The 25,148-nt window shown below is 50.5% G+C and overlaps 1 protein-coding gene across 14 annotated transcripts in view, besides 5 other annotated features; it reads left to right on the forward strand.

Moving 5' to 3' along the window:
- ARHGEF18 (Rho/Rac guanine nucleotide exchange factor 18) overlaps positions 1-25,148 on the forward strand; it is a 131,053-nt gene that overhangs the window by 64,446 nt on the left and 41,459 nt on the right. The window contains exon 1 of one of the 14 annotated variants that reach the window (XM_047438528.1): positions 24,045-24,118. The exons of the other annotated variants lie outside the window; for them this stretch is intronic. The gene's annotated coding sequence lies outside the window, so the exon portion shown is untranslated. Of the gene's footprint in view, positions 1-24,044; positions 24,119-25,148 lie in introns of those variants that run through there. 14 annotated transcript variants of the gene reach the window in all.
- Positions 13,530-13,609: an enhancer, noted in NCBI's record as "active region_13883". NCBI's record gives its function as "activates an Ori minimal core promoter by ATAC-STARR-seq in GM12878 lymphoblastoid cells {active_cell/tissue: GM12878}" and the evidence as "EXISTENCE:reporter gene assay evidence [ECO:0000049][PMID:35858748]".
- Positions 14,750-14,799: an enhancer, noted in NCBI's record as "active region_13884". NCBI's record gives its function as "activates an Ori minimal core promoter by ATAC-STARR-seq in GM12878 lymphoblastoid cells {active_cell/tissue: GM12878}" and the evidence as "EXISTENCE:reporter gene assay evidence [ECO:0000049][PMID:35858748]".
- Positions 15,250-15,359: an enhancer, noted in NCBI's record as "active region_13885". NCBI's record gives its function as "activates an Ori minimal core promoter by ATAC-STARR-seq in GM12878 lymphoblastoid cells {active_cell/tissue: GM12878}" and the evidence as "EXISTENCE:reporter gene assay evidence [ECO:0000049][PMID:35858748]".
- Positions 15,380-15,559: an enhancer, noted in NCBI's record as "active region_13886". NCBI's record gives its function as "activates an Ori minimal core promoter by ATAC-STARR-seq in GM12878 lymphoblastoid cells {active_cell/tissue: GM12878}" and the evidence as "EXISTENCE:reporter gene assay evidence [ECO:0000049][PMID:35858748]".
- Positions 22,855-23,042: a silencer, noted in NCBI's record as "fragment chr19:7501123-7501310 (GRCh37/hg19 assembly coordinates)". NCBI's record gives its function as "represses an EF-1alpha promoter that drives an FKBP-Casp9 reporter gene in an ReSE screen in K562 erythroleukemia cells {active_cell/tissue: K562}" and the evidence as "EXISTENCE:reporter gene assay evidence [ECO:0000049][PMID:32094911]".

The raw sequence follows: 25,148 nt of genomic DNA on the forward strand, positions 1-25,148 counted from the left end.
GCTCCACCTCCTGGGTTCACGCCATTCTCCTGCCTCAGCCTCCCAAGTAGCTGGGACTACAGGCGCCCGCCACCATGCCCAGCTAATTTTTTGCATTTTTAGTAGACACGGGGTTTCACCGTGTTGACCAGGATGGTTTCGATCTCCTGACCTCGTGATCCACCTGCCTCGGCCTCCCAAAGTGCTGGGATTACAGGCGTGAGCCACTGCGCCCGGCAAAAAAATCTTTTTTAATTAGCCATGGTGGTGTGCACTTGTAGTTCCAGCTACTTGGGAGATAGGGAGAAGGATTACTTAAGCCCCAGGAGTTTGGGGCTGCAGTGAGCTATGATTATACCACTATACTCCAGCCGAGACTCTGTCTCCAAAAAATAAACAAACAAACAAGATGGTCGTGAGGTAATCATCTTTTAGCCATGCTCATCGGTGGATGGAAGTTCACAAAGCTGTTAATTAATGGGCTGATGTTAACTTAGTAGGAAGCCACCCACGGTTCTGTCCTCTGCTGTGTCTCGGTCAGTCATTTAACTTGTAATTTGGGAAGATAAAGATGTAGAAAGCTTATTTATCAAAGCTGGAGATGACAGACAGCTATAGGGGTGGCTTTAATCACCAGGTGACAGAGTGAGTACCGGGATGCTTAGATTCCTGCGCGTGGGTCTAAATCAGGGTTTCCCAGCCTAGATACTGTAGGCATTTGGGGCCGGATCATTCTTTGGGATGGGACCTACCTGGGCACTGCAGGGTGCTGAGCAGCATCCCTGGCCTCCACCCACCAGATGCCAGGAGCACCCCTCTTCCCCCCTCACTCCCATAGCAACCAAAAATGTCTCCAGACTCTGCCAAATGACCCTGGGAGCAAGAATCACCCCTGGTAGAGAATCGTTGGTCTAGATAAGCAACCATATAAGTACAGGATGGGGAAATAGAACCTCATGACAGCTTGTGAGGAAACAACTTCGGGGTTTCAGTTGATCGTTTTTTTAAAAAGTCATAATAATACTAGTTTGAGGGCCAGGCGCGGTGGCTGATGCCTGTAATCCCAGCACTTTGGGAGGCCAAGGCGGGCAGATCACCTGGGTCAGGAGTTCGAGACCAGCCTAGCCAACATGGTGAACCCCATCTCTACTAAAAATACAAAAATTAGGCTGGGCACGGTGGTTCACGCCTATAATTCCAGCACTTTGGGAAGCTGAGGCAGGCGGATCACAAGGTCAAGAGATCGAGACCATCCTGGCCAAGATGGTGAAACCCCGTCTCTACTAAAAATACAAAAATTAGCTGGGCATGGTGGTGCGTGCCTGTGATCCCAGCTACTCTGGAGGCTGAGGCAGGAGAATCGCTTGAACCCGGGAGGTGGAGGTTGCAGTGAGCTGAGATCGCGCCATTGCACTCCAGCCTGGCGACTGCGAGACTCTGTCTCAAAAAAAAAGAAAAAAACAAAAACAATAAAAATACAAAAATTAGCCGGGTGTGGGGGCAGGTGCCTGTAATCCCAGCTACTCGGGTGGCTGAGGCAAGAGGATCATTTGAACCCAGAAAGCAGAGGTTGCAGTGACCCGAGATCGTGCCACTGCACTCCAGCCTGGGCCACAGAGTAAAATTCCATCTCAAAATAAATAAGTAAATAAATAAATAAAATAATACTAGTTTGAGCCAGTGATTATGATACAACTGTGTTCTCCCCTCCCCCAAAATAAAAACCACGCATGCCATTCAGCTATTCTGCTCCCAAGACCGCTTTCAACAAAGCTGGACCCAAGGACCTTAGTTCCATCCCTTATCCCATTGAATCTCCAGGCAGCTCCATTAAACCACCTCCCTAACCCTGCTCCTGGGCACTCCTGGGTTCTCCCGGGCTTCAGGTAGCACCTTAGGCCCAAATGTCCACCCCTTGCTTAGAGCGCCCTCCTGAGCGCAACACCCCGTGCCAGCGGCTGCCTGCTGCCGAGCCCGCCACTCTGCCCCCCACTTCATGGCCCCTGCACCGCCCCTCTCTGCCACTCTCCACCCTGCCCTCGAGGTCCCGGTCCCCCTGCGTCCACCAGCAACCCCTTCCAGTGTGCCCTGCTCCCCACGCTGCAGCCATCGTTTCGAGAAGCAGAGCTCATCCAATCCTCCACATAAACCTTTCCGTGGCTTCAGGTTCAATGACAAAGTGACTCTCCAAGGGCCCCCAAGGCCCATGGCAGAACCTCCTGGAATAAGACATTCCCTCCACCCTGCCCTTTCCTTTCTCTGACCGGTCCAGACCAGGTCCCTCCCAGACGTCCTCTCCCTCCCTCCCTGAAGCGCGTATTTGTTAAGCACCCACCCACCACATGACAGGCCTCGTGCCAGCCATGACCACAGAGACCCGCAGCTCCTGGAGTTTCCCTTCTAAATAAACAAAACTACAGTTGAGCCTTGGGATTTGCAGAGTCAGTGTTTACCCTTTTGAAGATATACCCAGGAGTAGAATTGCTGGATCGGATGGTAATTCTTTGTTTAATTTTCACCCGCTTGCTAAAATTTCTCTGTAACCGCAACATGAATCCATTCATATTGGTGCAGAGTGGAGAAAACTTGGAGTTCCCACACAGGTTCCCAGCTGAGGCTGAGCGAGGCGACACTCCACCTTCTCGTTCAGCCTCTCACACTGTAAACACATGCCCTGTTGAAGGTCTATGGAGTACCACGGTTTTCGCATTTGTGTGCTTCTTGTTGGTGATGTTAATGTTGAAAATGACCCCTAGCTGGGCGAGGAGGCTCATGCCTATAATCTCAGCACACTGGGAGGCCTAGGCAGGAGGATTAGTTGAGCCCAGGAGTTTGAGACCAGCCAGCCTGGGCAACATAGCAAGACCCTATCTCTAAAAAAAAAATTTTTTTTAATTAGCCAGGCATGGTGTCACACACCTGTGGTCTCAGCTACTTGGGAGGCTGAGGCAGGAGGATCCCTTGATTCCTTGAGCCCAGGAGTTCGAGGCTGCAGTGAGCTACGATCACGCCACTGCAGTCCAGCCTGGGCAGCAGAGACCTCATCTCTAAAATAACAATATAATAATAAATTTTTTAGAAAATAAAATGACCTTCAAACGTAGTGCTGCAGTGCCAGCAAGTGCCCCTGAGTGCAAGGAGGCTGTGATGTGCCTCACGGAGAAAATTCGTGTGTGTGTGTGTGTGTGTGTGTGTGTGTGTGTGTGTGTGTGTGTGTTTTGGGGTGGATGATATTTTATTTGGGTTTTTTTTTTTTTTTGAGACAGAGTCTTGCTCTGCTGCCAAGCCTGGAGTGCAGTGGCACGATCTTGGCTCACTGCAAACTCTGCCTCCCGGGTTCACACCATTCTCCTGCCTCAGCCTCCCGAGTAGCTGGGACTACAGGTGCCCGCCACCACGCCCAGCTAATTTTTTGTATTTTTAAGTGGAAACGGGGTTTCACTGTGTTAGCCAGGATGGTCTCGATCTCCTGACCTCATGATCCGCTCGCCTCAGCCTCCCAAAGTGTTGGGATTACAGGCGTGAGCCACCATGCCCGGCTGTTTTTGTTGTTGTTGTTGTTTTTTGAGATGGAGTCTCACACTGTTGCCCATTCTGGAGTGCAGTGGCACCATCTCGGCTCACTGCAGCCTTTGCCTCCCAGGTTCAAGCGATTCTCCTGCCTCAGCCTCCCAAGTAGCTGGGATTACAGGCACGCACCACCACACCTGCGTAATTTTTGTATTTGTGGTAGAGACAGGGTTTCACTATGTTGGTCAGGCTGGTCTCGAACTCCTGACCTCAAGTGATCCACCCGCCTCAGCCACCACCCAAAGTGCTGGGATTACAGGTGTGAACCACTACACCTGGCCTGGATGATATTTTAAACAAGGTGGCCTCTGGGGCTTCACTGAGAAGGTGGGCAGGTCAGACAAGATGGCTTACCACCTGTAATTCTAGCACTTTGGGAGGCAGAGGGAGGAGGACTGCTTGAGGCCAGGAGTTCAAGACCAGCCTGGGCAGCATAGCAAGACCCTGTCTCTATTTGAAAATTATACATTTAAAAATAAAAGTTGGCCCAGCACAGTGGCTCACACCTGTAATCCTAGCACTTTGGGAGACCAAGGCGGGCAGATCACTTGAAGTGAGGAGTTGGAGAGCAGCCTGGCCAACATGGCAAAACCCCATCTCTACTAAAAATACAAAAATCAGCCAGACGAGTGGCGCACGCCTGTAATCCCAGCTACTCGGGAGACTGAGGCATGACAATCACCTGAAACCAGGAGGCAGAAGTTATAGTGAGCTGAGATCGCACCATTGTACTCCAGCCTGCATGACAGAGCGAGACTCGGTCTCAATAAAAATAAAATGAAAAAGAAGATGGGGACAGGCAGAAGGAGCAGCAGCCACGGGGGCCCAGTGGGATGGTGACATGTTTGGAGGAGGCCGGGGTGGGTGGAGCCAGGTGGCCCAGGAGAGTGGGAGAGTGAAGGCTGGTGGTAGCTGGTGAGGAGATAGCCTGGGTGGGGCCAGAGGTCCTGGACTCTCTGTAAGAGACCAGATGGTACATACCTTGGGCTTTGTGGGCAGCATAAGGTCTCTGGTGCATATTTTTGCTCTACCAAAGGAGGTGCTGGATTTGGCCCTGGGGCCATAGTTTGCCGACCATTCTTGCAGGTCACAGTGAAGACGGGTTCCTGGGGAAGGTGGGGGCCATGGCAGGGCTTTGAGCAGAGGAGGGACATGCCTGACTTGGTTGTTAGTTGAATCATTCCAGCAGCTACGGAGGAAGTGAATGGTAGTACAAATAGTCAAGGAAAGTATTTGCTTTGTGTCAGACAGCATTCCAGAATGTTCTCTATCACAGCCAACCCCCAGAGAGGGCATTACTGGTTTTTTGTGTTTGTGGGGTTTTTTTGTTTTGTTTTGTTTTGTTTTAAGGCGGGATCTCACTGTCACCCCAGCTGGAGTGCAGTCGCACAATCACAGCTCACTGCAGCCTAGAACTCCTGGGCGCAAGCGATCCTCCTGCCTCAGCCCCCCAAGTAACTGGGAGCACAGGCGTGCACCATGCTTGACTAATTTTTTACTTTTGGTAGAAATGGGGTTTTGCAATGTTACCCAGACTGGTCTCAAACTCCTGGGCTCAAGCATTCCTCCCACTCTGTCAGTGACAGATGGCCACTCTGTCACCTTCTTGCCACCTCAGCCTCCCAAAGTGCTGGGATTACAGGTGTGAGCCACTGTGCCCAGCCAGCAGGCACTACGATTATCCCCATCCTACAGATGGGGGAAATGGAGGCAGGGTGCAGTTAGGTCCCTGGCTCTGGATCTCGGAGGTGGGGGTTTGAGCCCGGGCAGCGTGGCTGCGATGTCTGTTCCTAGCACACCTGCCCTCTCTGCCCCGGCCCATGTGGCTGATGGAGTTGTCGGTGTGGATTCAAGGGGGAGAGAGGGAGGAGAGGAGGTGAAGGTGGCACTCATTGACGGCTCTTTTGAGTTTCCACAAATACTTGTTTCCTGGAGAGTCTTTCCTTTCAGACATCTGCTAGTCCACCTGGCGCCTGTTCAGTAAGCACCAGGGAATGGAAGGGCCTCTCCCTTCATTTCTGCATTGCAGGTGTGTCTGCTCTCCAGCCCCCCAGCAGCCCCTCACCCCAGGTGCACCCGCACTCGGCCTCTGTACCCCAGATGTACCCACACTCGGCCTCTGTACCCCAGATGTACCCACACTCGGCCTCTGTACCCTGATGTACCCACACTTGGCCTCTGTACCCCAGATGTACCCACACTCGGCCTCTGTACCCCAGATGTACCCACCCTCAGCCTCTGTACCCCAGATGTACCCACACTCGGCCTCTGTACCCCGATGTACCCACACTCGGCCTCTGTACCCCGATGTACCCACACTCGGCCTCCGCACCCCAGGTGTGCCCACACTCGGCCCCCGCACCTGGGTGTGCCCACACTTGGCCCCCACACCCGGGTGTGCCCACACTTGGCCCCCGCACCCCAGATGCGCCCACACTTGCCCCCTGCACCCAGATGCACCCACACTCAGCCCCTACAACCCAGATGTACCCACACTTAGTCCCCCCACACCCCAGGTGCACCTGCAGCTCCTTCACCACAGCCTGGGCAGCCCATCCCACTGTGAAGGGAACTCCCGGCCTCCAGCCTGTCTCAGAAGGACCCCTCTCTCCCTACCCTTGCCTGCTGCAGGACAGGCACCACCCTAGTCTTGCCCTGAAACCCACCCTCCCTCAAAACCCTTTTCTCTTGAAGGGTTTCCTTTTCTCCATCAGGCCACCCTAGCCTAAACCTCACGGAGGATTCTCCCACACACTCCAGACCTGCCGTCTTGAGCACTGAGTTGCGTAGGGTGTGTTGCAGTCACTTGGGAAGGTGTCGGGCAGGGCACTTTTCCCCAGGACAGACTTCTGAACCCCAAGCCCATGCAGGTGGCCCTTACCTCTTCTTCATCTGTGTTTTGAATACACACCCTCCACCATAGAAAGCTGCCTGGAGTGGAAGCACCTGGGGTGCACCCACACTTGGGCTCTGTACCCCAGATACACCCACACTCGGCCTCTGTACCCCAGGTGTACTCACACTCGGCCCTCATACCCCAGGTGCGCCCACACTCGGCCTCCACACCCACACTCGGCCCCTGCACCCCAGGTGCACCCACACTCAGCCCCCACACTCACGCTAAGCCCTGACGACAGCCTCAGGCCAGCTGAGCTCTCAGAGATTGGCAACTAATCAAAAAAGGCCAGCTCTCTCTATATATTTTAGAGATTGGGTCTTGCTGTATTGTCCAGGCTGGTCTTGAACTCCTGGGCTCAAGTGATCCTCCTGCTGCAGCCTCCTAAGTACAGGTGGGACTGGGGCTACAGGTGTATGCCACCACGGCCAGCTGAGCAATTATTATTATTTTGAGACAGGATCTTGCTCTGTTGCCCTGGCTGGAGTGCAGTGGCACAATCTGCAACCTCCACCTACCAGTTCAAGCAATTCCCGTGCCTCAGCCTCCTGAGTAGCTGGGACTACAGGCGTGTGCCATCACATTCAGCTAATTTTTATATTTCTAGTAGAGACGTGGTTTCATCATGTTGCCCAGGCTGGTCTTGAACTCCCAGCCTCAGGTGATCCGCCCACCTCGGCCTCCCAAAGTGCTGGGATTCCAGGCGTGAGCCCCCACGCCGGGCCTGTTTTGCTTGTTTTTAAGTGACTTGCTTTTCAGTTTTTCCAAAGCATTTGACTCTGTTTCGTAGAAACACTCAACTCTTTTGCACCCATGGGTTCATGAGTTATGAGTTTAGGTGGCACTTTGTCGCTCAAGTGCATAACTTTGATGGCAGGCAGCGATGGCACACACAGCCCTGGGAACAAACAGTAATGGCTCTGGGTAAGCACAGTTTGCAGGCAGACGGCTGCAGAGGGCAGGTGGCCCTGCCCTGAGTCACACCCGTCGTGGAGAGGAGACGTTATGGGGTGAGCCTGTCAAACCTAAGAGTCTTAAGACTCTGTCTGCTGTGCTGGTTCACCTGGGATGGATGGCGGACAGCTCTGTTCAAAACTGTTTTTTGTTTTTTTGTTTTTGTTTTGAAACAGTCTTGCTCTGTCGCCCAGGCTGGAGGGCAGTGGTGCAGTGATGGCTCACTGCCGCCTCCACCTTCCGGGCTCAAGTGGTCCTTCCACCTCAGCCTCCTGAGTAGCTGGGTCTGCAGGCGTGTGACACCACACTCAGCTAATTTTTGTATTTTTTGTAGGGATGTGGTCCCACTGTGTTGTCCAGGCTGGTCTCAAAACTCCTGGGCTCAAGCGATCTGCCCACTTCAGCCTCCAAATGCCGTTCCTCAGGATTATGTCTTTGACTGCAGTCGGCCCTTGAACAGCACGGGTTTCAGCTGCGTGAGTCCAGTTACACACAGACGTTTTTCAGTCAATACAGTCAGCCCTCTGCAGCCACAGGTTCTGCTTCTGCAACCAAAGCAGACCAAAAATACAGTGTTCTCAGGATGAAAACCCACAGATTCAGAGGGCCGACTTTTCCCATATGCCGGACAACTGTACCCCCCTCTTCTTTTCTGTTTCTGCACATGGACTGCTCCCAAATAGATATCCCCAGCTTTGGCCGGTTGCAGTGGCTCACACCTGTAATCCCAGCACTTTGGGAGGCCAAGGCAGGCAGATTACCTGAGGTCAGGAGTTCAAGACCAGGCTGGCCAAACATGGTGAAAACCCGTCTCTACTAAAAATACAAAAATTAGCCAGGCATGGTGGTGCACGCCTGTAATCCCAGCTACTTGGGAGGCTGGGACAGGAGGATCACTTGAACCCAGGAGGCAGAGGCTGCAGTGAGCTGAGATGGTGCCACTGCACTCCAGACTGGGCAACAGAGTGACACTCCGCCTCAAAAATAAAGAAATAGGTGTCCCCAGCCTTGATGATGGCCCTGACTCCACGCACGTCTCAACAGCCTTCAGGACTTCTGAGCAGAGGGTCCTGGGTGGCATTTCAGACTGACCATGTCTGCTGGGAGAGCTGTTCTTTTTCCCACCTCTGTCCCCTTCTCCCTTCCTTCTTCCAGGTCCCACCTCGGTGGCCCAAACCAGACATCTTCGTCATCCTGGCCTCCTCCATCCGTGCCCGTGTTTACCGGGGCACCAAGCCCTGCTGGTTCTGCCTCTGACCTCCTGTCCCAACTTTTCACCCTCTGCCTTCCTTAAGGGCTTTGTCACCTCGCACTCAGGCTGCCAAACTGGTTCCCTGCCTCTGTCATCTCTCTGTCCCCGTCTAATCATTTGCCTCTCCTATCACTGGTTACCTCTGTAATGCAGGTTTAATCATGCCTCTCCCTGCCTAAAACCTTCCCCTGGCTCCTATTCTGGAAGAGTGTCGTAGGGCAGCATGTAAAACGCCACGCATGCCCCGCCCAGCCTGCCTTTTAATCTTCATCTCTGGCCACACTCTTCTAGCACTGCCTGTCTGCCCAGCTCCCGCCCATGCCCCCCCGCCCCGCGCAGCCTTCTGTCCTGTAACCACCTTCCCCACAATATGCCATCATTCCCCCTGTTAATGGCTCTGCCCTTGCCCACTGTCCTATCCTGGAATGACTTTCCCTCATCCTTCTTTCTTCTAATGACCTCCTATTCATCCCTCAAAACCCAGTGCAAAGGATCCCATGATCTCCTGCCTTCAGGCAAAATGACTCACCTTCCTCCTCAGGCCACCCCAGCTCCCACTATTGGCGATCCCATCATCCTTTGCTAACACACCACCTCCTGGATCACCTGGGCTCCTCTGGACTGGAGATCTCCTCTCAAACACCGCATCATCAGTCCCACAACAAAATGTGTTCTAACTTTTCTTTTTTTTTTTTTTTTTTTTGAGATGGAGTCTCACCCTGTCACCCAGACTGGAGTGCAGTGGCAGGATCTCGGCTCACTGCAGTCTCCACCTCCCAGGTTCAAGCAATTCTCCTGCCTCAGCCTCCCAAGAAGCTGGGATTACAGGCACACACCACCACACCCAGCTACTTTTTGTATTTGTAGCAGAGATGGGGTTTCACCATGTTGGCCAGGCTGATCTCAAACTCCTGATCTCAAGTAATCCGCCCATCTTGGCCTCCCAAAGTGCTGGGATTACAGTCATAAGCTACCCCACCAGGCTGTTTTAACTTTTCTAAACAGATGTGTAAATAATTTTTTTTTGGAAACATGGCTCATGGGTCATCAGTGACTGTCTGGACAGCTCAGGGATTAATAGCCGGGAGGAGCTAAGCCCCAGTTCCTCCTCGTTCCATTGTGCTGGGGTTTCATGGATTATTACTGAGCCCATTTGCACGGTCCGGTCTGCGTTCAGGAGAATATTGTCCCATCTATCTTCAGTTAGCTGTTTGAGTATTCGGGTTGGGTGTGAGGGAGCTAACAGTTGGCCCCTTGCTCTGTTCTCAGATTCTTGAGGTTTATTTCCCCCTTGAATTGTCCCAACAGTCCTGTGAGGTGGATGTCATTTATTACTTCTGCACAGATGACTAAACAATCTCAGGGGAGCCTGGTCATTAATTGGCCATGATCAAAAAGGTAGTGAAAGCACATGGCAGCACTTTGGGAGGCCGAGGCGAGCGGATCACTTGAGGCCAGGAGTTTGAGACCAGCCTGGCCAACATAGTGAAAATCCTTCTCTACTACAAGTAGAAAAAATTAGCCGGGCGTGGTAATGCATGGCCGTAATCCCAGCTACTCGGGAGGCTGAGGCACGAGAATCACTTGAACCAACCCAGGAGGCAGAGGTTGCAATGAGCCGAGATCGCGCCACTGCACTCTAGCCTGGGTGACAGGGCGAGAGACTCTATCTCAAAAAAAAAAAAAAAAGCACGTGGCAGAATAAGATTCAAACCCGTGTTCCACCTGATGCCAAAGCCTGTGTTTTGGAAAAGAAATGTCATGTATCAAGATACCCCTAATTCTACAGCCCGCATCCCTACACTTGGGAAAGGAAACAGAGGAAGTCGATCTAGTATTGATAGAAGCGAGCTGTGTGTTCTAGTGGCTCTAGTAGAAGTGAACCCAGAAGTGGATCTCATAGAAGCAAGCCATGTGAAAACTGACACACTATTGATTTGGGGTGGCATCAAAAATGGTGGCCCTCCACTTTGAGGTTTTTATGTTATTTACTTATTTATTTATTTCTGAGATGGAGTTTTGCTATTTTTGCCCAGGCTGGACAGTGCAATGGCGTGATCTCGGCTGACCGCAACCTCCACCTCCCGGGTTCAAGCGATTCTCCTGCCTCAGCCTCCCGAGTAGCTGGGATTACAGGCGCCCACCACCACGCCCGGCTAATTTTGTATATTTAGTAGAGAAAGGGTTTCTCCATGTTGGTCAGGCTGGTCTCGAACTCCCGACCTCAGGTGATCCGCCTGTCTCAGCCTCCCAGAGTGCTGGGATTACAAGCATGAGCCACCACCCCAGGCCGGAGTTTCTTTCTTGAGCTAGATTTTCTTGCAAGGTTACACTTATTAGCAAAGTCCTTGGGAAAAGCAATTTGGTAATGCAAGTCTAAACATCAGAAAGGATTTGTAACCTTTGCGTCCAAAATCTCGTCTCACGGAGGCTCTTGTATGAAATTGGAATGCCTCGAATGTCTAACAGCAGGGAAACGATTAAAGCGATACTTACAAAGTCTATAGCAACGTGAAATACTTGTGTGTTCCCTGCAACTATAACTGAACATGTACACCCGTGTCAATAAAGATGGGGGCACAGAGACATTTGTAAGTGATGGTAAGAGTGCTGGTCGATTTTAATTTAATTTTAAATTTTAGTTCACTCTTGTACTATTCATTAAGAAGGCTCAAATTTAGACTGGGCGCGGTGGCTCACGCCTGTAATCCCAGCACTTTGGGAGGCCGAGGCGGGCGGATCACGAGTTCAGGAGATCGGGACCATCCTGGCCAACATGGTGAAACCTCATCTCTACTAAAAATACAAAAATTTGCCAGGCATGGTGGCAGGTGCCTGTAATCCCAGCTACTTGGGTGGCTGAGGCAGGAGAATCGCTGGAACCCGGGAGGCAGAGGTTGCAGTGAGCCGAGATCACGCCACTGCACTCCAGCCTGGTGACAGAGTGAGACTACGTCTCGGGGAAAAAAAAAAAAAAGGCTCAAATTCAGGTAACAGTGCTATAGGTGATATTTCTTCATGAGCCCTTATCAGTATTTCCCGAGAGCCATTTCTTATCAGCCAGGAATCTTTGCAGATGAAGAGTTTGTACCACATTTGTACTTTTTTAAGACCATGACATGCAGCCAACTGGTTTTATGCCCAAGAATGTTCCACTTTGTTCCGCCCTTTTTTTTTCTAATGCCCCTAAGGTGACTCACCTATAGCAGTTTACCTTAGTTCTTATCTTCATTAAACAAGAGTAGGGCTCTGGCTTGGTCTTACACATTTAGAGAAATGCGTTCTACATCAATGGAAAAAAGGTGGGGGTCTCCCCCTACTTCCCCACAAAAAAAACAAACTTTTGAAGTTAAAGCTTATTAAGAATGGGCCGGGCACAGTGGTTCACGCCTGTAATCCCAGCAATTGGAGAGGGTGAGGCGGGCGGATCACGAGGTCAGGAGTTCAAGACCAGCCTGGCCAACATGGTGACACCCCGTCTCTACTAAAAATACAAAAATTAGCCAGGCATGGTGGCGGGTGCCTGTAATCCCAGCTACTCAGGAGACTGAGGCAGGAGAATTGCTTGAACCTGGGAGGTGGACGTTGCAGTGAGCTGAGATAGCGCCACTGCACTCCAGCCCGGGTGACAGAGTGAGACTCCGTCTCAAAAAAAAAAAAAAAAGCTTATTAAGAATTATGAGAGGCCGGGCACAGTGGCTCATGCCTGTAATCTCAGCACTTTGGGAGACCAAGGCAGGAGAATCGCTTGAGGTTAGGAGTTCAAGACCAGCCTGGGCAACATAGCAACACCCTGTCTCTACAAAAAACATAAAAATTAGCCAGACATATTGGTGTGTGCCCGTAGTCCCAGCTACTCAGGAGGCTGAGGCAGGAGGATTGTTTGAACTCAGGAGTTCGAGGCTACAGTGACCTATGAATGCACCACTGCACTCCAGCCTGGGCAACAGAGTGAGACCCTGTCTCAAAAATAAAATAAAATAAGAAAATAGGAAATTAGCCAGGCTTGGTGGCACATGCCTATAGTCCCAGCTACTTGGGAGGCTGAGGCAGGAGGATGGCTAGAGCCTAGCAGTTGGAGACTGTGGTGAGCCATGACTGCACCACTGCACTCTAACCTGGTCAACAGAGCAAGACCCTGTCTCAAAAAAGAAAAAAAGCAGCAAAGAATAACCTGGGCGCGGTGGCTCATGCCTGTAATCCCAACACTTTGGGAGGCTGAGGCGGGTGGATCACCTGAGGTTAGGAGTTGGAGACCAGCCTGGCCAACATGATGAAACCTGTCTCTACTAAAAATAGAAAAATTAGCCGGGCGTGGTGGAACGTGCCTGTCGTCCCGGCTACTCAGGAGGCTGAGGCAGGATAATTGCTTGAACCTGGGAGGCAGAGGTTGCAGTGAGCTGAGATTGCGCCAGCACACTCCAGCCTGGGCGACAAAGTGAGACTCTGTCTCAAAAAAAAAAAAAAAAGAAAAAAAGCACCAAAGAATGATGAGAATTTACTCTTAGGTAGTACACCAGACACCTAATCGACGTCTAGTGATTTGGGCACCAGAATCTAGCTCTCTGCCTGCCTTTCCCACCTCCACCTCAGTTTTCCCCTTATGCAAAATCACGTAGTATTTTCCTATGTCACAGAAATGCCGCTGCCGTGGCTGAGAGAACGTTTGCTCAGAATGGAATGCTTCCACCAGGATAAAGGCCTTAGGATGTGGATATTTCCAGCTAGCAGCAAGTGTGTTTTGTACTGTGAAGCATCCCTTACTTTTAGGACGAGACTGGTCCCAGGAGGAAAAGTGGCGTCGATTGGTTTCCATGGAGAATGCAGTTTCTCACTGTGGACTCTTGAGTTCTTAGTTATGCTGTCAAATATTCTAAAATCATAGGTCACCTCGCCGTGTTGAAAGGTTCTACAGAGCCTTCTGAGTCTCAGAGAAAGTTAAGTTTGAATTCTTGGGGTGGAGGAGCCGAGGTCAGGCACTTTGGGGTTAGAGGTGACCCTGGCCTCCTTTTTCCCTCTCGTAAGCTCGAGGTGGGGAAAACCCAGAACCCCCACTGCAGGCAAGAATGTGGTTCCATCTGGCCTTTTTGCTGTCGCAGAACCTGCCAGGAAAGGCGCACACAGGATGTTTTAGGGCCCAATTCACCGCAGGCTCCTGGAGAGCCCCCAGTGAAGAAATGAGTCTCACTGAGGTCAAATGTTGCCCCAGCTGCCTCACTTTCGCAAGGTGGGCCCAACGGCAAGTGTGTCTACCCAGTACCCTGGAGGGGGGATGTCTGTGGGCTTCATGTGTCCAGGCATTGTCCAGAAAAAAAGGGCTGTCTTGGCCAGGCATGGTGGCTCTCGCCTGTAATCCCAGCACTTTGGGAGGCCGAGGTGGGAGGATTGCCTGAGCGCAGGAAGGAGTTCAAGATCTGCCTGGGCAACATAGCAAGACCGTGTCTCTACAGAAAATACAAAAATCAGCCGAGTGTGGGAGTGTCTGCCTGTAGTTCCAGCTACTTGGGAGGTTGAGGTGGGAGGATCACTGGAGCCCAGGAGGTCAAGGCTGCAGTGAGCTATGATCACGCCACTGCACTCCAACCTGGATGACAGAGGGAGACCCTGTCTCTAAAAAAAAAAAAAAAGAAGGCCGGGCGCAGTGGCTCACACCTGTAACCCCAGCACTTTGGGAGGCTGAGGCAGGCAGATTTCTTGAGCTCAGGAATTCAACACCAGCCTGAGAAACATGGTGAAACCCTGTCTCTACTAAAAATACAAAAATTAGCCAGGTGTGTTGGCACACGCCTGTAATCCCAGCTACTTGGGAGGCCGAAGCACAAGAATTGGTCGAATCTGGGAGGCAGTCTGCAGTGAGCCAAGATCGTGCCACTGTACTCCAGCCTGGATGACAGAGTGAGACTCTGTCTCAAAAAAGAAAAAAGAAAAAGAGGGAGAGAAAAAAATGAAAATCACCTCTCTTTTAAAGGAATAGAATAAGAGTAACAGAGTCAAATCTCTGGGCAAACATGTACAGAACTTAAATAAACAGTAAGAAGAATAAGATGATAAAACCAGAAAGTAGCTCAACAGTTAATTCCTGCGGTCATGTTGAGAATGTGTAAGGATTTTCATGTTTATGTGAAACTGAATGGGGGTGGGTGGTAGCTAAGTCGAAGAGTCATACAATTCCACTTAAGAAATAGCAGTGCTTAAAATGCATTTTTTCAGGCAGTTTTTAACTCAATTTTCTTGGGTAAGTAACCCTTGGCTTTGCGAGGTAGTTTGTGTTCCCATCTGTCGGGCCAGGCGCCCACTTGCTTCCTGGCTATGGCCTTCCTTCACCTTCCAGCAGAACCTGGTGAGCCCACGGCCTGTTGCATGGAGATTTTCTTTCTTCTGAAATGGACTCTCACTTCTCTCAAGCTGGAGTGCAGTGGTGCGATCATAGCTCACTGTAGCCTCGAACTCCTGGCCTCCAGTGATCTTCCCACCTTGGCCTTCTGAAGAGATTTTTTTTTTTAAGTGGAACTTAAAATCCCACCAAAGATAATGGCCCTGAAGGTGGCTGTTGTCTTTAATGGTTCAGAAGGCTGAGGCAGGAGGATCACTTGAGCCCAGGAGTGGGAGGCTGCAGCGAGCTATGACCACGCCACTGCACTCCAGCCTGGGCAACAGAGTGAAACTGTGTCGAAAAAACGAAAGTGAAATGGCCAAGAAAGAGATTACCCTGGGCCCCTGCAGGTCGAACCTTTGGGTGCCCTCCCTGATCTCTCTCCTAACTGTGCTCCCCGCCCTGCCCGACTGCATCCTTCGCCACAGGGCCGTGGTAGCCTGCATGGCTGTGTGCTCGTGCCGCAATGGGCTGAGCACGTAGATCTGATGTGACACCAGTGCCTGGAGATGAACAGCACCTGACCCTTGCTCCCAGGGAGGTCAAGGTGCAGCGAGGCTGTGCAATAAAGTCGGGAGTGTGGTGAGCTGTAAAGGAAGCCCGCAGGCCTAGGCCACGGGCCCGAGGGCAGGGGCACGCCATGCAGAAGGACTCTGACCCGGCCCCACAGCTGGCCAGATAAGAGAGACGCCTTGAGTCGAGGGGCCGGGGGCTCTGAGGCTCCCCCCTGGTATGGCATGTCAGCGTAGTTGGGGTATAGGGTACAAAATGTGGCAAGAGGTGAGGCCAGAGAGGGTCTGGACCCTGTAGATGGGGCGGGATGAGAATGGGTGAGTCTGGATGGGCAGCCACCCACGGCGATCTCAGCCTGGGCTAAGTGACCAGTGGGCAGCCCCAAAGCCCGTTAAACAGAAGGCCAGGTGTGGCGGCTCATGCCTGTAATCCCAGCACTTTAGGAGGCCAAGGCAGGCAGATCACTTGAGGTCAGGCTTTTGAGACCAGCTTGGCCAACGTGGTGAAACCTCATCTCTACTAAAAATACCAAAATTACCTAGGTGTGGTGGCAGGCGCCTGTAATCCCAGCTACTCGGGAGGCTTAGGCGGGAGAATTGCTTGAACCCGGGAGGCGGAGGTTGCAGTGAGCTGAGATCACACCACTGCACTCCAGCCTGGGCAACAGAGTGAGACTCCGTCTCAAAAATAAATAAATAAATAAAAATAAACAGGCAGAAGGCAGAACTGTGGCCGATTGGATTTCAGGGTGCAAGAGAAGTCATCATCCCACAGACGCCCCCCAAGCTGGGGCTCATGTCCCTGGCACAGAGAGAGGGCCCACACCCATAAGAGGAGGCTCTAGAAGATCCCACAAGAGGGGCCCAGAGGGCAGTGGCATGCATGCCACGGAGAGGGTGCTGTCTCCTGGCCAGTGAGTTCTGGTTCTTTCTTAAATCAGAGCGCTCCCGTGCATATGCCTTAGCAAAATCTCTGCTGTGTTTAACAAGCCTCAGTGCATCCTGGAAGTACTTTTTTTTTTTAAATCGACTTGTGCCTCAATATACTTTTTTTTTTTTTAAGGAAACTATTGCTTGGGAATAATTTTCAGTTTACAGAAAAATTGCATAGATAGAAAAGAGAATATTCATGGTACCCACACCCAGTTTCCCCGCACATTAATAACTGATGACTAAACTCCCAGGCTTTATCCAAATTTCACCTATTTTTCTGCTCCAGAATCCAGCTCAGGCTCCCACATTGCACTTGGTGGATTTAACTTTTGAGATACTTCCCTGTCATTTTTTATTTTTCTTTAAAAGAAATGAAGGCCGGCTCTGTCACCCAGGCTGGAGTGCAGTGGCATGATCATGGCTCACTGCAGCCTCAAGGTCCCAGGCTCAAGCGATCCTTCTGCCTCAGCCTCCCGAGTGCTCAGGACTACAGGCATACACTACCATGCCTGGCTAATTTTTTTTTTTTTTTTGACAGATGAAGTCTCACCATGTTGGCCAGGCTGGCCTCAAACTCTTGACCTTAAGTGATCCTCCCGCCTCAGCCCTGCAAAGTGCTGGAATTACAGGCATGAGCCACTGTACCCAAATACACAGCTCCCAAAATTAACACAGGCCAGGCATGGTGTTGCCTGTAATCGCAGCACTTTGGGAGGCTGAGGTGGGAGGACAGCTAAAGCCTGGAGTTCGAGATCAGCCTTGGTAACATAGGGAGACCCTATCTCTATAAAAATATCTAAAAAATTAGCTGGGCATGGTGGTATGCGCCTATAGTCCCAGCCACTTGGGAAGCTGAGGCCAGAGGACTGCTTGAGCCCAGGAATTCGTAACTGCGGTAAGCTAAGTCTGTGCCACTGTACTCCAGCCTGGGTGACAGAGCGAGACCCTCTCTTCAAATAAATAAGTAAATAAAATAGAACAATAATGCCCACATCCATAGACAATAAATAAATATACCAACCATCCTCAACCTAAATGTTATACTTCATAACAAAAATGAACTCCAGCACTTTGGGAGGCCAAGGCAAAAGCATCACTTGAGTCCAGGAGTTCGAGACCAGCCTTTGCAACATAGCCAGATCCCATCTCTAAATTAGCCAGGTGTGATAGCACACACCTATGGTCCCAGCTATTCGGGAGGCTGAGGTGGGAGGATCACTCGAGACAAGGAGGTTGAGGCTGCAGTGAGCCGTGATCGTGCCTGTGTACTATAGCCAGGGCGACAGAGTGAGACCCTGTTTCAAAACATAAAAAGATAAAATAACAGTAGTACCTACTTTTGAGTCATTGTGAGGACTGCAGGACTTAAGAAATATTAAGTGAGGCCGGGCACGGTGGCTCACCCCTGTAATCCTGGCACTTTGAGAGGCCGAGGTGGGCGGATCACTTGAGGTCAGGCATTCGAAACCAGCCTGGCCAACATGGTAAAACCCCGTCTCTACTAAAAATATAAAAATTAGCTGGGCATGGATGTGGGCGGCCATAATCCCAGCTACTCAGGAGGTTGAGGCAGGGGAATCGCTTGGGAGGCGGAGGTTGCAGTGAGTCAAGATCGTGCCACTGCACTCCAGCCTGGACGACAGAGTGAGACTCCATCTCAAAAAAAAAAAAAAAAAAAAAAAGGCCGGGCTCAGTGGCTCACGCCTTTAATCCCAGCACTTTGGGAGTCCAAGGCGGGTGGATCACCTGAGGTCGGGAGTTTGAGACCAGCCTGACCAACATGGCGAAACCCCGTCTCTACTAAAAATACAAAATTAGCGGGCGTGGCGGCGCATGCCTGTAATCCCAGCTACTCGGGAGGCTGAGGCAGAAGAATCGCTTGAACCCAGGAGGCGGAGGTTGCGGTGAGCCGAGATTGCGCCATTGTGCTCCAGCCTGGGCAACAAGAGCGAAACTCCAGCTCAAACAAAAGAAATACTAAGTCCTCAGGACACAGCCTGGAATGCAAGAAGCACTCAATAAATAGTACCTGTTGCTACGAATTACCACATTTTTTTAAATGGTATTTTGGGGGTTTGACGTGTAGTTTGGGGTAGGAGGCTTTTCGTTTTGTTTTTTGTTTTTGGATAGTACCAGGTTTGGGAAGAATATTCTGAGTCATACTTACCTTCTAAGCTGCAAGATGTCTTTTTTAATTTTTCTTTGTCCCCTGAGGTGCGGGATGAAGGGGTTTTTTTCTTCCTCCTACCTTTTTATTCTTTTTAATACTGTCTTGCTTGTGTAACATCAAAATGAGGCAAGAAAGAGAAATCAATGAAGTCATCTTCTCATCGATTTAGTCTATTCCCAGGTGGCCGAAAAGGCAGGAACTGTGAACTGAAAACTTCATCTGGCATCAGATTTTCTTTAATTGTCTCTCGAACACTCACCAGTAAGCCAGTGCTTGCTAGAACTCTCTAGAGCCAGGTTGCACTCTCAGCCTAAAAGAAAAGTCTTGGCTGAAACAAAGAACAGAAGGATGGGTGGGGACAGAAAACCTCCCTAAATGTGAGAAAAGGAGTCATTATTTCTGAGACCAGGCCTTGAAACCGAGGTGCTTGTCTGGTTCACTTGTTTCTTTCTTTTTGTTTTTGTTTTGTTCAGAGACAGGGTCTCACTACGTCGCCCAGGCTGGAATACAGTGGTGCCATCATAGCTCACTGCAGTCTCGACCTGCTGGGCTCAAGGGATCCTCCTGCCTCAGCCTCCCAAAGTACTCAGATTACAGACTTGAGCCACCACTCCCAGCCCTGTTTGTTTCTTGAATAGTCCTTTGCAGAAAACTGGAGACTTATGGACTAGGGCCCAGCTGCCTTCAAAAGATGTTTGGGGTCCCTTTACAAGTGAGAGGCTATATAGGAATCTGCAATTTAAGACAGGCAATTCTTGCTTACAAATTGGCATTTCTGGAAGTCAGTGTGCCTCTAGATTATTTATAAAGGACAGTTTGAAACCAATTAAGACAGTCACTTAATATGTCATATCAGGTCCGGGTACACTGGCCCATGCCTATAATCCCAGCACTTTGGGAAGTCGAAGCGGGAGGATCACTTAAGGCTAGGTATTCAAGACCAGCCTGGGCGACATAATGAGACCCCCGTTGCTACAGAAAAATTTTAAATTAGCTGGGCATGGTATCACACACCTGTAATCCTAGCTACTCAGGAGGCTGAGGCTGGAGGATCCCTTGAGCCCAGGAATTGGAGGCTTCAGTGAGCTGTGATCATGCCACTGTACTCTAGCCTAGATGATGGAGCGAGAATGTGTCTCTCTTTAAAAAAAAAAAAGAAGGCAGGCCGGGCACGGTGGCTCACACCTGTAATCCCAGCACTTTGGGAGGCCAAGGCGGGTGGATCACCTGAGGTCAGGAGTTTGAGACCAGCCTGGCCAACATAGTGAAACCCCGTCTCTACTAAAAATACAAAAATTAGCTGGGTGTGGTTGGACACACCTGTAGTCCCAGCTACTCGGGAGGCTGAGGCAGGAGAATCACTTGAACCCAGGAGGCGGGGTTGCAGTGAGCCAAGATTGCACCACTGCAGGGAGGCGGAGGTTGCAGTGAGCCAAGATCATGCCACTGCATTCCAGCCTGGGTGACAGAGCAAGACTCCGTCTCCAAAAAAAAAAAAAAAAAAAAAAAAAGTGTATCAGGTTTTCTTGGACATCACTTTGAACAGGCTAGTAACTACTCAGCCGTTTTCATGTAATTTTTGGTGAGTCCTGTTCCTGTAAGACCTAATAAGGAGTGTGCTTGGCTGTCAGAGGACAAAGCCTGTGGCTTACAGGATTTATGAGAGACTGAGTCACAAAGGAAGCACAGCGGCACTGGAAAAAGTCTGGGGTCTTAGGCTGGGTGCGGTGGCTCAGGCCTGTAATCCCAACACTTTGGAAGGCCGAGGCAGGCGAATCACTTGAGGCCAGGAGTTTGAGACCAGCTTGGCCAACGTGGAGAAACCCTATCTCTACTAAAAATACAAAAATAGCCAGGCATGGTGGCAGGCACCTGTAATTCCAGCTACTCGAGGGGCTGAGGCAGGAGAATCACTTGAACCTAGGAGGCGGAGGTTGCAGTGAACTGACATCACACCACTGCACTCCAACCTGGGCGACAGAGTGAGATCTGTCTCATTAAAAAAAAAAAAAAAAAGAAAAAAAAAGTATGGAGTCTTTTGTCCCAGTAAAGTAATGCAGGTGGGATCCTGACACCTGTTACGAAAGCTTTGTCATCTAACTTGCTCAGAGATTGCTCTTGTTTTAGTGTTTTTTAAAAAAACAAAAAATTTATAGAGACAGGGTCTATGTTGCCCAGGCTGGTCTCGAACACCTAGCCTCAAGCGATCCTCCCACCTCAGCCTCCCGAAGTGCTGGGATTACAGGCATGAGCCACTGTGCCTGGCCAGGGACTACTCTTGAATTCATGAAACCAAGACAAAACCAACTTTTAAAAATCACCCTGAGGATAGGCCACTGTCTGTGTTTGTTGCTGAGAATAGGGTATATTTTTTCCCCCTCAGGTCAGAACTGTTTTGATTTTCACCGTTCACCTCTTTCCATCCATCCTCCAGGTCCCCTTGCAGAAAGAGCTCTGCGGCATACAGTGGCCACAGCGGGCCAGGTGCTCACTAATCGATCGCACCTCTCAGCAGTGGGCAGGAGGCGCTAATTAGACTCTGAGTAGCTTTTGCAGCTGCACAGAAAGTGCTGGACAGCACAAGCTGAACCCCAAGCACCATGGCCGTCTGCTGTAGGAAAAACCGTAGCAGGAGATAAATATGTATCCCTGTCTCTCTCGGAGCCAAGAGCAGAGCGACTAATTCCCACCATATGTTGAGCTGCAAATCAGATGTTTTGCTCTCCTCCCACAGAAAGAAGCCTGTCCATCACAGGTGTGAGTTTGTTGGTTGAGCAGGTTTATTGAGACGTAATTCACAGACCATACAATGCACCCATTTAAGAGTACAACCCAGGGGCTTTTAGTATATTCAGAGTCACCGAAATGGATCTTAGAACCCCAAAAAGAAACACCATAGGCCAGGCGCAGTGGCTCACGCCTGTAATCCCAGCACTTTGGGAGGCCAAGGCGGGCGGATCACCTGCGGTCAAGAGTTTGAGACCAGCTTAGCCAATGTGGCAAAACCCCATCTCTACTAAAAATACAAAAATTAGCTGGGCGTGGTGGCAGGCACCTGTAATCCCAGCTACTCGGGAGGCTGAGGCAGAATGACTTGAACCTGGGAGGTGGAGGTTGCAGTGAGCCGAGATCACCCTCACTGTTTTCCAGCCTGAGTGACAGAGCGAGACTCCATCTCAAAAAAAAAAAGGCGTCAGAAGATCTGAGGCTCTCCCATCCCTGGCAAGCAGACTTCTGGCCTCTGGGCAGCTGGTGTTTTAGGGTACCCAGGATTTGTCTTAACCCAGTATGGTGAGACTCACAGACCCAGAAATGACCGTCAGGAAGGAAGAAGTTTATATTCACAGTCCTCTGGAAGCAGGAGGCAGGGCACACCACACAGGGGCCACATGGGGAAGCACCAGGGTCAGTTGAGGGACAGAGGGGAAAATATGGACAGGAGTCTTCATTGTGGTTTCCCGGGGAACAAATGGGCCAGGCAGGGTGAGCAGGTTCAGGATGGGGCCCCGAGGTGATGAGGGCAGCGGGACCGTGGCCAGGAGTGTGAGAGCCCCATAAAGGAGGCAACTGGGGGTCTGAGCTCTGCACTGGGTGCAGACCCTTTACTGTCTCTAGAAACTGGCCTGGGAGGGGCTGTGCATCCATGGTCAGCAAAGCCCCAAGATGTCAGAGCATCACAAATCCGGAATAAAAGGACATAATCAATACAGCGGGTCTGTGGCAGGGCCACTGACTCATGTCTTGACCCATCAGCTATTTCAGTGGCCGCATGTGTTCCAGGAAGACTCAATTTATGACTGTCCACCTCTTATTCTATTTCATTTCATTCTTTTTCAGAGTCTTGCTCTGTCACCCAGGCTGGAGTGCAGTGGGGCAGTCATAGCTCACCACAGCCCTGAACCCCAGGGCTCAAGCAATTTTCCCACCTCAGCCTCCCAGGTAGCTGGAACTACTGGCACACACCAACATGCCTGCCTAATTTTTTGTTGTTGTTTTTTAAGAGACGAGATCTCACTGTGTTGCCCAGACTGGTCTCTAACCTGCTGTCCCTGGTCATGACCCCAACATGTGAAAACTTCAGTGTCTTCTAAATCATCAAAGGAGGGTTTACATATATTCCCATAGATTTAGCATTACCAATAGTTTATTAAAATTCTTTGGAATCAGCATTTCTTCTTTTTTTTTTTTTTTTTTTGCCATCAACTTGATTTTGGGAATTGGCATTGCTTACATGCTGTTTTTTTTGTTTGGTTTTTTGGTTTTAGTTTTTTTCAAGACAGGATCTCACTCTGCTGCCCAGGCTGGAGTGCAGTGGCATGATCTCGGCTTACCACAACCTCTGCCTCCCAGGCTCCAGCAATTCTCCTGCCTCAGCCTTCTGAGTAGCTGTGATTACAGGTGTGCACCACCACTGCCAAGCTAATTTTTGTATTTTTAGTAGAGACAGGTTTTCCCCATGTTGGCCAGGCTGGTCTTGAACTCCTGACCTCAAATGATCCACCCCGCTCGGCCTCCCAAAGTGCTGGGATTACAGGTGTGAGCCACAACACCCAGCCAGATGCTATTTTTAGTGACTTTTTCTTCTATGGACTATTGTATTAGAGCAGAATTAATCTGATTTCAGTCAAGACCTCAGTCCACAAGCAACCATCTGTCAGCCCTGCCAGGATGCTGCTGGGCAAAGGATACATCTCGGGATTTGCGCCATATTTGTACGTTTAGGTCATAATTGCCTGGGTGGAGTTGAGTGTTGTACAGAAATGGCAAGAAATGCCTGTCCTGGACCGTGTCGCCTTTGGTTTAGGATTCCTGTTTTTTTACATAGGTGTTGCTTTGTGAGTGACATCTTCAATTGCTTTGTCTCCTATAACAATAGTAATTGTTAGTCATGTGTTATGACGTCAGAATGTTTCTGGCCTCTGAACAAATGTCATCTTTGCTGTGCTGGGCTGTGGAAAGAATGAACAGCTACTGAGTATATGTGCAATGTGCTGTTACACAGCTTAGTGGCTGATGTCTTAATTGGCAAGAATTCTTGACTCCTCTGCCAGAAAATCTCTAACACACACTCACCTGCTCGTTAACAATCACCTTCAATTTACAGCTAAATTAAAAGTTGCTCAGAGGCCGGCTACGGTGGCTCAAGCCTGTAATCCCAGCACTTAGGGAGGCCGAGGTGGGTGGATCACCTGAAGTTGGGAGTTCGAGACCAGCCTGACCAACATGGAGAAACTCCGTCTCTACTAAAAATACAAAATTAGCCGGGTGTGGTGGCACATGCCTGTAATCCCAGCTACTCGGGAGGCAGGAGAATCGCTTGAACCTGGGAGGCAGAGGTTGCGGTGAGCTGAGATCACGCCATTGCACTCCAGCCTGGGCAACAAAAGCGGAAATCCGTCTCAAAAAAAAAAAAAAAAAGTTGCTCAGAGAATGCTGAATCCTCTCCCAGGAGAGCTGCTGCGAGTACGTTTTCCCTAGGGTAAGCTCTGCCCACCCCATGGTTTATAACTCCGTGTTCCCAAGAAAGAGACTTCTAGCTGCTCTCTTCCTGTAACATAGACAAGGCAATGGTGTATCGGGACCTAGGAGCCAGGAGGCCACAGGACAGATCAGATTTCTTTTTTTTTTCTTTTTTTTTGTGAGATGGAGTCTCACTTTGTTGTTCAGGCTGGAGTGCGGTGGCATGATGTCAGCTCACGGCAACCTCTGCCTCCCGGGTTCAAGCGATTCTCCTGCCTCAGCCTCCCGAGTAGCTGGGATTACAGGTGCCCGCCACCATGCCCAGCTAATTTTGTATTTTTAGTAGAGATGGGGTTTCATCATGTTGGCCAGGCTGGTCTCAAAATCCTGACCTCAGGTGATCCACCCGCGTCGGCCTTCCAAAGTGCTGGGATTACAGGCATGAGCCACTGCACCTGATCTGACAAATCAGATTTCTATTTCTCTTCTCTAAGCTCCTCTCCTCTCCTCTCTCCTCCCCTCCCCTCCCCTCCCCTCCCTTCCCTTCCCCTCTCCTCTTCTCTCCTCTCTTCTCTCTTCTCTTCTCCCCTCCCCTCCCCTCCCTTCCCCTCTCCTCCCTTCTCCTCCCCTCTTCTTTTCGAGAAGGTCCCGCTCTGTCACCCAGGCTGGAGTGCAGTGGCACAATCATAGCTCACTGCAGCCTTGAACTCCTGGGCTCAAGCAATCCTACTGCCTCAGCCTCCCGAGTAGCTGAGACTACAGGCGTGCGCCACTTGTGCTCAGCTATTTTTTTATTTTGTGTAGAGACGGGGTCTTGCTATGTTTCCCAGGCTGGTTTTGAACTCCTGGCCTCAAGCGATCCTTCCACCTCTACCTCCCAAACTGCTAGGATTACAGGCGTGAGCCACCATGTCTGGCCCAGATTTCTTTTTTTTTTTTTTATTTTTGAGACAGAGTTTCACTCTTGTTGCCCAGGCTGGAGTGCAGTGGCACGGTCTCGGCTCACCACAACCTCCACCTCCGGGGTTCAAACGATTCTCCTGCCTCAG

The sequence above is a fragment of the Homo sapiens genome, chromosome 19 (genome assembly GCF_000001405.40).
Source record: "Homo sapiens chromosome 19, GRCh38.p14 Primary Assembly".
Taxonomy (NCBI): Eukaryota; Metazoa; Chordata; class Mammalia; order Primates; family Hominidae; genus Homo; species Homo sapiens.